This window comes from Homo sapiens, chromosome 10 (genome assembly GCF_000001405.40).
Source record: "Homo sapiens chromosome 10, GRCh38.p14 Primary Assembly".
Taxonomy (NCBI): Eukaryota; Metazoa; Chordata; class Mammalia; order Primates; family Hominidae; genus Homo; species Homo sapiens.
Genome location: NC_000010.11, coordinates 108,366,149 through 108,378,965, shown reverse-complemented (window position 1 = coordinate 108,378,965; position 12,817 = coordinate 108,366,149).

The following is a 12,817-nucleotide window of genomic DNA, read 5'->3' as shown; positions in this document are numbered from 1 at the left end:
GTATCCCAAAAGCCATATTACACACCTTGAAATCTATATTCTATGGGACAAGCTGATCATTTTCAAGTCAGTAATGAAATAAAGCTTGTAGAAACTTAGAGTTAGATGGAGGTTTTAGAGAACAACTCTGCCTTCCAGAATTCCACCCCTCAACTCAGCAGCCAGATCAGTATTTGTAAATTGTAAATCTGATTATTTTACCCTCCCCTCAACAACACCCACCCCCCTTATTGCCATGCTGAATATTTCAGTGACTTCCTGCCACTTCTGCAATAAAATTCTCAACTTGGATTGCAAAGCCTGGTATGGTCTCGCCTCTGCTAATGACTTCATGCTCACTTTCTCCACATTCTAGGCTCTCTGTCTTCTAAATATTTTTCTTTCTCTTTGATCCCTGAAGTGCACTAGGTTTTTTCAAATCTTGACTTAATTATGACTTCCTCAGGAAAGACTTCCTTGACTTCTCAGACTAGGTCAGATCCTCTGGCTATCCACATCCATGGCGGTGGACAATCCTTCTTCATAGTGCCTATCACAGTTCGTAATTGCACATCTATTCATAGACTCTGATGAACTGCTCAGATCCTCCTTTAGGATTAAAATTACTCCCTGACATCCCTCAAATATCAGCCATATTTGTGTATACTTTGACTGAAGAGAACCACTTTGCTAACTGGTTCAGCCTGCACCTAATAACTGGGATAGAAAGTCCAGACTACATGGCCCAACTCAGAAAAACTCTGAAGGCAGTCTCAGACCAGACTTCTTCATAAGGATGACTGAGGTCTTGTTGATACTAAACAAACTTTGCTGATAATTGATATGGTTTGGCTGTGTCCCCACCCAAAATCTGATCTTGAATTGTAATCCCCATAACCCACCCTGTCAAGGCAGAGATGAGGTGAAAGTAATTGAATCATGGGAGCAGTTTCCCACATGCTGTTCTCATGGTAATGAGTGAGTTCTCACGAGATCTGATGTTTTTATAAGTGTTTGTAGTTCCTCCTGCATTCATTCTCCCTCCTGCCACCTTGTGAGGCAGGTGTCTTGCTTCCCCTTGCCTTCCACCATGATTGTAAGTTTCCTGAGGCCTCCCCAGCCATGCAGAACTGTGAGTCAATTAAACCTCTTTCCTTTATAAATGACCCAGTCTCGGGCAGTTCTTTATGCCAGTGTGAGATTGGGCTAATACAATAACACAGTCCAACTTCTTGTTCAGTCTGCTTCCTATCCTTCATTCCTTCCTACAAGTAGTGGTCACAAGACAAACCTGCAAACTAACCTCCATCTCAGAGCCTGCTTTTTTAGGAACCCAAAATATAACAATCTTCTCGGGTATGTTGATTGATGTTCATCTCCCCCACTGTCACCTCCACAAGGGTAAGGGTCATATGTGGGGTTTTTTAACCTTTATATCTTCAATATTAAGCCCAGATTTTGACATATCGTAAATATGTAATCCCTAAACAACATTGCATGAACATGAATTAATGCCATCTACCATCTTCATTTTACAATTAAGATGTAGAAAATTGACATTCCCAAGGAGATGCAGCTGACCAGCCTTTTTCTTTCCCCCTTTCCCCTACTAGCCTGTTGTTTATTTTGTTCTTCTCAGGGACCCAAGAGCTTATATGCCCCTATCACTAGAAAAGAGCAAAATGCTTATTCCTTGTAAAAGGTGGTTTTTCTCTTAGGGGGAAGAAATCACTAAGTTCAAGGTAATCTCTGGTGAATGGCTGGAACTCTGGAAGTATCAATGTTAATTACACATTCCCCCTGATCTATGGATCATTCCCAGACAGCCCAAGTCCAAAAACCCATCACCCTGACCTTGCTAAAATGAACTCAGCTGACACTATCATCATTCAATATTCCCTATTCACCATCATAGGTAAGTAACAGGAAAATCCTCTAATGAACTACAGGACTGTCAGGGATCATTCACTCTCCATATAACTTAGGTTACTTTCTAAACTGTGAAGTCTTTCATAAGAGGTGCATTATTCTGGCTGGACACAGGGGCTCACGCCTGTAATCCCAGCACTTTGGGAGGCTGAGATGGGTGGATCACCTGAGGTCAGGTGTTCCAGACCAGCCTGACCAACGTGGAGAAACCCCGTCTCTACTAAAAATACAGAATTAGTTGGGTGTGGTGGCGGATGCCTGTAATCGCAGCTACTCGGGAGGCTGAGGCAGGAGAATCACTTGAATCTGGGAGGCAGAGGTTGCGGTGAGCCGAGATTGCACCATTGCACTCCAGCTTGGGCATCAAGAGTGAAATTCCGTCTCAAAAAACAAAAAAATGGTGCATGATTCTGTTTCTGAATTTGAAGAGTGACACAGTTGATTTGTTCTTTTTTGTTAGTCCTCTCTTCTCCCCTGTTCAATGCAGAAGTGATATTGATAGTAGAGTTTGCTTCTTTTAAGCTCAAAGTCCAGAATTAGGCACCAAAACAAATAAATATTCTCCCTTTATCTTAAAGGGATGTGTTCCAAGACCTCAGTGGATGTCTTAAACCATAGATAGTACCAAATCCCATATATGCTATGTTTTTGCCTATACATAAATACATAAATAGTTATTATAAAATTTAACTTATAAATTAGGCACAGTAAAAGATTAATAACTAATAAAATCGAACTATTATAACAATATACTATAATGAAAGTCATATGAATACAGTCTCTCTTTCAAAATCTCTCATTGTACTGTACTCACCCTTCTTATGCTGATGAGGTCACATGATAAAATGCCTATGCTTGGATTTATCATATGCCCTGCAGAGTTGCTACCGAGGACAGATTTGCTCTTACTGCGTATCTTAGCATCCTCGGTACATGACTATTTTTCTTTTCTTATTAAGTCAAAAACTTTCACCTTTTCACTTAGAAGAAGCACTTTGTGCCTTCTTTTTAGCATATCTGAATTGCCACCATCACTAGTCTTGTGCTTTGAGGACATGTTAAGTAAAATAAGGGCTACTAGAATACAAGCATTGCAATACCATTTGGTAGCCAAAATGACTTCTAAGTGACTAATGAGCAAGTAGGATGGACAGTGTGGGAAGGCTGGACAAAAGGAATGATACATGTTTCTGACAGGATTGAGCAGGATCATACAAGATTTCATCACATTATTCAGAATGACACACACTTTAACACTCATATATTGTTTATTTCTGGAATTTTCCATTTAATATTTTCAGACCACACTTGATCATGGGTAAATGAAACCACAGAAAGCAAAACTTAGGATAAGGGAGGATTACTGTATTTCTGCAGAAAAATGCTGTAGTTTGGTTCAAACTTGAGGTGTATGCTGTATTTGCCTGTGTGTGTGTGCGTTTCACATGCGTGTATGTGGTTAACGTGTATATGTGTGTCCTGTAGTTCTTTAAAATGTGTGAGCTTAAAGTCCCTGGCTGAATTTCAAATGAAAGTTAATGCCCATCTACCACCACTATCACATTAAAAACAAACGGTTTTTGGAAGAGCATAAGCTCTGAAATTTGAACTGTCTGTTTTGAATATTGCCCTCACCACTTATTAGCAGTTGGTCCTTGGGTAACATATTCAATATCTCTGAGTGTCGGCTCACAGCCTCCACAGCTGAAGAAAGCATAATTATAGTATGATATCCACAGCACAGTTATGAACTTTAAATGTGCTAATAAATGCAGTAAGTTCTCAATGTCAAATATTCTGAATCTCATGTCATGGTTGGCCTCAAGTACTCTTAGTAATTCACTTACATTTTTCTTGCAGCCTTATCAGTACATTGTGAGTTCAACAAGAGTAGGAAACACTGTGTCTCATTAATCCTTTAAATCTCTAGAAACAAGTACAACCAGCCTCCTAATATATAATTGCTTAATCTTTGAATTTATAAGTTTGAAAGTTCATGATAGTTTCTGTCTTTATGAAAGGCCATTAGCACATCACAATAGTATTTGTTGAACTTGACAAAGTGATAAAATATGTATGTGATTACTCTTGCATCTCTATGGCTAAATGATACTCTGAGAGTTTTCATGAAGGTGGATAAATAAACATAGCAGTAAATAAAAGGTGAGTTTTACAAATGCATCTACTGATTTGCTGATCACCGGTTTATTCATTTATGGGCATGAGATGAACAGCAGTTTCATGTGGTGAATATAATAGAACCATCAGATTTTAAAATATAATTGTTTAAGTCTATGATAAATTAGTATTAAAAGAAGAATAGGCAACAGATGCTAATTAGAAGCTACTGGGAGGGTTTTATAACATACTCTTTCCTTTTGATGTGGCTATCTATTGTTATATTTTAAAAGCACTCCAAAACTGAAATAGCAAATTATTATCATCCCTGACACTCCTGTGTACAAACTCAGTGGTTCTCCTTGGGGTATATCTAGAAGTTGAGCTACTCTGTTCCATGATGTATCCCCCTCTCCGTCTCTGTATGTCTCTGTCTTTCTCTCTCTCCATGTTGTCTCGTTCTAAAAGGGTTCTTCACATAACTGCAACTTCTCACAGTGCATTGATCCCAGAACATTTACACTTATAATATGGCAGATGCTTTCCCATAGCCCAAAACAGAAACTGCTAAGCAAGGCAAGGGGTAAGCTCAAAATTTGTACATAATAATCTCCACCATTTTAAAATTTAATTTCATTTACTTAGTCAAAGCAGCCAGAGACCTACACATATTTAGTTAAATACAGAAAGAAACACTTCTTACTCATGGACTGAAAAGATCACATTGTAGAAAAGCATATTTTTGAAGCTATCTTTGGGAATTATGAGTTGACACAGTCTATTCTCGGGCTAAACTAATTCATATTCCTTTTACATGTAAAATATACTCACCCGTATAAAGACACTCAAAGACTTATCCCACTAGGGTATAAGCTCCATGTCTAAAATCTCATTATCAAAATTTGGGAAAATATGTCTATGAGGCTCTTTGAATATATGCCCTCAGGTATAGCATATTGAGTACAGTTTCTCTCACTCTGAAAACCTATGAGCTAAAGAGGCTTGTTACCTGCCCTGTCATCATTTTTCAAGTCTTAAAAACCTGTCAACTACAAATTCAATATTTAATGAAAATATTTTTAAGAATAAGTGGAAATAAAGACATTGTGAGATGGCAGTAAAGTAATGGATTTTGTCACTGCAGAAATAGTCTAAAAGAATGGCTAAAGAAACCCCAAAAAATAATGGGAATGAAGGCTTGAAAATTTAGAAGGAAAAAAGGTGAAAAATCGGTGTAAATATAATAGAATATTCATTCCCTAGTGATTTTCTTAAGTCATATTTTATGGCTGAAGAGAATGTTGTAATATCATTTGATGAGGTATTTGATGTATGTGAATGAAATACCTATGACAATTACATTTTAAAAGTTGGGACAGTCAAGGCAATTAAATGAAAGAGGGGTTATCCCTTCATGCTAAAAACTGTCAATAAACTAGGTATTGATGGAACGTATCTCAAAATAATAAGAGCTATTTATGACACACTCACAGCCAATATCATACTGAAGGGCAAAAACTGGCAGCATTCGCTTTAAAAACTGGCACAAGACAAGGATGCCGTCTCTCACCACACTTATTCAATATAGTATTGGAAGTTCTGGCCAGGGCAATCAGGCAAGAAAGAAATAAAGGGTATTCAAATAGGAAGGGAGGAAGTCGAATTGTCTGTTTGCAGATTACATGATTGTATATTTAGAAAACCCCATCTTCTCAGCCCAACATCTCTTTAACCTGATAAGCAGCTTCAGCACAGTCTCAGGATACAAAAATCAATGTGCAAAAATCACAAGCATCCCTATAAACCAATAATGGACAAACAGCCAAATCATGAGTGAACTCCTATTCACAATTTCTACAAAGAGAATAAAATACCTAGGAATACAACTTAAAAGGGAGTGAAGGACCTCTTCAAGGAGTACTACAAACCACTGCTCAAGGAAATAAGAGAGGACACAAATGGAATAACATTCCATGCTCATGGATAGGAAGAATCAATATCCTGAAAATAAGTAATTTATAGACTCAATGCTATCTACAACAAGCTACCATTGACTATCTTAACAGAATTAGAAAAAAAACTACTTGAAATTTCATATGGAACCAAAAAAAAAAAGCTGGCATTGCCAAGGCAATCTTAAGCAAAAAGAACAAAGCTGTAGGCATCACACTACCTGACTTCAAACTATACTACAAGGCTACAGTAACCAAAACAGCATGGTACTGGTACCAAAACAGATATATAGACCAATGAAACAGAAGAGAGGCCTCAGAAATTACACTGCACATGTATAACCATCTGATCTTCGACGAACCTGACAAAAACAAGCAATGGGGAAAGGATTCCTTATTTAATAAATGGTGTTGGGAAAGCTGATTAGCCATATGCAGAAAGCTGAAACTGAACCCCTTCCTTATACCTTATACAAAAATTAACTCAAGATGGATTAAAGACTGAAACATAAAACCTGAATTGTTAAAAACCCTAGGAGAAAACCTAGGCAATACCATTCGGGACATAGGCTGGGGCAAAGAATTCAAGACTAAAACACCAAAAGCAATGGCAACAAAAGCCAAAATTGACAAATGTGATCTAATTAAACTAAAGAGCTTCTGCACAGCAAAGGAAACTATCATCAGTGTGAATAGGCAACCTACAGAATGGGAGAAAATTTCTGCAATCTATCCATCTGACAAAGAGCTAATATCCAGAATCTACAAAGAACTTAAATTTACAAGAAAAAAACAACCCCATCAAAAAGTGGGCAAAGGATATGAACAGACACTTCTCAAAAGAAGACGTTTATTCAGCCAACAAACATATGAAAAAAAGCTCATTATCACTGGTCATTAGAGAAATGCAAATCAAAACCACAATGAGATACCATCTCACACCAGTTAGAATGCTGATCATTAAAAAGTCAGGAAACAACAGATGCTGGAGAGGATGTGGAGAAATAGAAACGCTTTTACACTGTTGGTGTGAGTGTAAATTAGTTCAACCATTGTGGAAGACAGTGCGGTGATTCCTCAAGTATCTAGAACTAGAAATACCATTTGACCCAGCAATCTCATTACTGGGTAGATAACCAAAGGATTATAAATCAGACTACTACAAAGACATATCTGCGTGTATGTTTATTGTGGCACTATTCACAATAGCAAAGACTTGGAACCAACTCCAATGCCCATCAATGATAGACTGGATAAAGAAAATGAGGCACATATACACCATGGAATACTATGCAGCCATAAAAAAGGATGAGTTCATGTCCTTTGCAGGGACATATGTGAAGCTGGAAGCCATCATTCTCAGCCAACTAACACTAGAACATAAAATCAAACACCCTATGTTCTCACTTATAAGTGGGAGTTGAACAATGAGAATACATGGACCCAGGGAGGGGAATATCATACCCCAGGGCCTGTAGGGGGGTGGGGGGTTAGGGACGGCATAGCATTAGAAGAAATACCTAATGTAGATGATGGGTTGATGGGTGCAGCAAACCACCATGGAACATGTATACCTATGTAACAAACCTGCACATTCTGCACATGTACCCCAGAACTTAAAGTATAATAAAAAAAAAAGAGGGGTTACAACACTTCAATGGTAACAGTAGACTGTGGACAGTGTCATAACTGGATCAACCATTAAGGAATCTATACAAATTTGTATTCTTGAAATACCATCAATAAATTAAAATGAAGATCTAAAAATCAAAATAAGTAACCAAAGAGAGAGAAAGAAAGAAACAGAGGCAAAGGAATGAGAAACAGAGCAAACAACTATAAAACAATAAAATGGAAGACTTAACAACTTAACCCTAATGTATCTGTCTTCGTCTTTTTTAAGATTTCAGCTTTCATTTAGATAGAAGAATACATGTATAGGTTTGTTATATGGGTAGATTGCAGCCAGGCAGTGAGCACAGTGCCCAATAAGTAGTTTTTCAACCCATTCCCTCCTCCTTCCCCACTCTATTGGTCCACATTGTCTATTGTTCCCATGATTATGTCCATGTGTGCTGGATATTTAGCTCCCACTTATAAATGAGAATATGTGGTGTTTTCTTTTCTGTTCTTGCATTTGTTCACTAGGATTATAGCCTCCAGCTCCATCCATGTTGCTGTAAAGGACATGATTTCATTCTTTATTACGGCTGTGCAATATTCCATGGTATAATTATACCACATTTTCTTTATCCAGTCAACCACTGATGGACGAGATTGAATCCATGTTCTTGCTGTTATGAATAGTATGGCAATAAACATATGAGTACATGTGTCTTTTTGGTATAATGATCTGTTTTCCCTTGGGTAATAGTAATGGGATTGCTGGGTCAAAGGGTAGCTCTGTATTAAGTTCTTTGAGAAATCTCCAAACTGCTGTCCAGAGTGGTTGAACTAATTTTCATTACCACCAATAGTGTATAAGCATTCCCTTTCCTCTACAGCCTTACCAGCATCTGTTTTTTTTTAATTTGTCTTTATAATAATAGCCCTTCTGACTGGTGTGAGATGGTATCTCGTTGTTTTGATTTTCATTTATCTGATGATTAGTGACGATCACTTTTTCATATGTTTGTTGGCTGTGTGTATGTCTTCTTTAAGTTCCTTACAGAGTCGGATTTTAGACCTTTGTTGGATGCCTAGTTTATGAATATTTTCTCCCATTCTGGAAGGTTGTCTGTTTACACTGTTTATAGTTTCTTCTATGCAGAAGCCTTTACTTTTATTAAGTCCCACATGTCAATTTATGTTTTTGTTGCAATTGCTTTTGGGGACTTGCAAAAATTCTTTGCAAAGGCTGGTGTTGAGAAGAATATTTTCTAGATTTTCTTCTAGGATTTTCACAATTTGAGGTCTTATATTTAAATATTTAATCCATCTTGAGTTAATTTTTGTATATGGTAGAAATAAGGGTTAAGTTTTATTCTGCTGGTTGTGGCTAGCCAGTTATCTCAACACCATGTAGGGAACAGGGAGTCCTTTGCCCATCGCCTACTTTTCCTGACCTTGTTGAAGATCAGATGGTTAATAGCGTATGGCTTTATTTCTGAGTTTTCTATTCTGTTAGATTTGTCTATGTGTCTATTTTTGTACCAGGACAATGCTGTTTTGGTTATTGTAGCCTATAATACAGTTTGAAGTTAGGTAGTATGCCTCTGGCTTTGTTCATTTTGATCAGGATTACTTTGTCTATTCAGGCTATTTCTTGGTTTCATATGAATTTTTAAATAGTTTTTTCTAATTCTGTGAAGAATGACATTGGTAGTTTGATAGGAATAGCATTGAATCTGTAAATTGCTTTGGGCTGTATGGCCATTTTAAGGATATTGATTCTTTCAATCTGTGAGCATGGAATATTTTTCCTTTTATTTGTGTGGTCTCTGATTTATTTCAGTAGTGTTTTATAGTTCTTCTTGTAGAGATTTTTTTTTTACCTCGTTGTTAGCTGTATTCCTAGGTATTTCATTTTTTTATGTGGCTATTGTAAATAGGATTGTGTTATTGATTTGACTCTCAGCCTGGAAATTATTGGTGTATAGAAATGCTACTGATTTTTGTAAATTTATTTTGTATCCTGAAATCTTAAAACATCATGTATCACTTCTAGTAGCCTTTTGGTGGTGTTTTCAGGGATTTTTAGGTACAGAAACATACTGTCAGCATAGAGAGAGAATTTTACTTCTTTTCCTATTTGGATGCCTTTTATTTCTTTCTCTTGCCCAGTTGTTCTGTCTAGGACTTCCCTGTCTTTAAATGAACATAGTATAAATACATCAATTAAAAGACAGAAATTATAGAATAAATTAAAAAGTATGATCCAACTATATACTGCTTATGGGAAAACTATTACAAAAATAATGACCTAAGTTGACAGTAAAAGAAAGGAAAAAAAAATAAACCATGCAAACCTTAATTAAAAAATACAGTGTAGCTATATTGATATCACATATAGTGCACTTCAGAGAAAAAGAAATTACTAGACAGTGAGAACATAGCAATCCTAAATGTGTATGCACTGAAGGGCAATGGATAAGAATGTTAAAACATCTTACTTACCTTTTTTTCATTTAGGAGACAAGGATCTTAAAAAGGAAAACTCCAAAAATCATGGAAAGGCAATTTTCCTTTCCTGTGAAAGCCTGTATGAAATGCCCTTTTGCCAGAAATAGACCCAGAGCAAAGAAATGATACAAAAGTTACCTACTCTGAGATTCTTTCTGCTTTCTCACATACAACTGTATATGATCTGAGAGTCTGCAGAGCTCTCTTGAGGAAAAAGGCCCAGTGAAAATGTGAACTTGGTATTTTTACTTTTAAAAATTAGGATATCAACCCTGAAGTGGCTGTTCTCCATACCCAATGTTTCTGTAAACCTTCACATATGCAGGTATGGACCATAGTCATGAGTCTGCTAGCAGGTCAGCACTTGATTCTCTACTAAAGAACCTAAAAAGCAACCCTGAATATCTAGGGGTTCATTAGGCCCTGATGAGCCTAGAATCTTTAGAGATAGGATCCTGTATCTGCATTTTTAATATTTGTCTCCAAGTGATTCTAAGGCACAGTAAGTCTTTGAAACTACTTCTCTTCATCAGTGCTCCTCAAGCATACCAAGGCATCAAAATCCCTTGGTATGCTAGTTAAAATATAGATTTACTAGCTTCCACTCCCACAGTTTGTGATTTGATAGGTCTAGTGTGGGACCTAACATTTTCCTAACAAATGTTCATGTGATGCTGGTTTTGCTTGCTCGAGGAACACATTTTGAAAGTTATATCTCTAGAGCAGGAGTCGGGATTTCTTTTTCTCTCTTTGTAAAAGGCCAGATATTAGGTAATTGAGACTTTATAGGTCATATTGTCTCTGTTTCAACTATTCATTTCTGCTGTTGTAATGCAAAAGCAGCCATGGACAATATACAAATGAATGGGTTTTTGTACTAATAAAACTTTTTTTTTTTTTTTTTTTTTTTTTTAGACAAAGTCTCGCTCTGTCACCCAGGCTATAGTGCAGTGGCATGATCTTGGTTCACTTGCAACCTCTGCCTCCCGGGTTCAAGCAATTCTCCTGCCTCAGTCTCCTGAATAGCTGGGATTACAGGCGCCTGCCACCATGCCCAGCTAGTTTTTGTATTTTTAGTAGAAATGGGGTTTCACCATGTTGATCAGGGTGGTCTTGAATGCCTGACCTCAGGTGATCCATCTCCCTTGGCCTCCCAAAGTGCTGGGATTATAGACATGAGCCACCGCACCCCGCCTGTTTCTTTGTTTGTTTAATAAAGACGGAGTCTCTGTCACTCAGGCTGGAGTGCAGTGGTGCAAATGCAGCCTTGAACTCCTGGGCTCAAGGAATCCTCTTGCATCAGTCTCCTTAGTAGTTGGGATTACAGGCACACACCACCAAGCCCAGCTAATTTTTGTATTTTTAGTAGAGATGGGATTTCACCATGTTCGCCAGGGTGGTCTCGAACGCCTGACCTCAGGTGATCCACCCCCGTTGGCCTCCCAAAGTGCTGCGATTATAGGCATGAGCCACTGTGCCTGGCCAAACCTTTCTTTATAACAGCAGATGTTGGGCTGATTCGGCACATGTTTGTCCAATTTCTATTCTAAAGAACAGTGCAAGAAATGGAGTTACTAAATCAAAAGGCTGTATATTTAAAATTGAAATAAATATGAGTAGATTGACCTCTTCTGGATTTCCAAATTAATACTTCAGCAGTAGGTATGAAAAAACCTTAATTATAAATATACTATTCTGCTGGGAGGTGCTGATAATGGGAGAGGCTCAGCCTTGTGGGGACAGGGTTATATGGAAAATCTCTGTACCTTCCTTTCAACTTTGCTGTGAACTTAAAACTGCTCTAAACACTAACTCTTAAAGCAAAACAAAATTTAAAACCTTAATTACCGTCATTCTCACCAACACTTGGACTTTTTAGACTTGAATTTCTGCCGATCTGATGTCTTTCAGTTTTTATGGAACACCACCTCTGGAAATTCAAAAGATCTAGACCCTTTGCAGTATGGGCCTAGACAAGCAGATCCTTAATATTGTAATGAGGATGTGGAGAAGGGTATGCCTTAATATTAGAGAGCAGGAAAATGTACCTAACTGTCAGTGTCCAAATCACCAATGACGCGGTAGACAAGCACTAATGGATCCAGCATGCAAAGACTGCATCTAAAGAAGGGATTCTCAATATTAGCATTATTGACATCTTGGTTCTAATAATCCTTTCTTATGGGGATGCAGAGAGGTATCCTATCCATTGCAGGACATTTAACAGCATCCCTGGCCTCTACCTATTAGATGCCAATGGCAACTCCCACCAAGTTGCAACAAACAAAAATTTTTCAGATATTGCCAAAATGGCCGCCAGTTGAGATCTATTGATCTGGAATCACAATAACTGTTTTTCATTTCCATCAGTGGCTGCAATGACTTTGACCTTTTCCAGGATAAGATATGTCAACTCCTGACTTGTCAAGTGAGTTAACCTTTATTAAAGGCCTAACTTGTGCCCTCACAGAAGTGGAGTATGGGATGAAAAGAAAAGGAAGCAGAAGTAATATCTCATTTTCAAGGAGTTTATGGCTCCTAAAATCAGAAGCTAATGCATTTTGATTTAAGTTAGAGCAAAAATACTTTATTAGACTTTTTTTCAAATTTTAAATTATTTGTCAACATTATTGGGATGGCATTATTCAGGTAATCATATTTTAAGATACCTTTCAAAAATATAAAACCTAGCAATGCTGGACTTTCATTCCTTCACT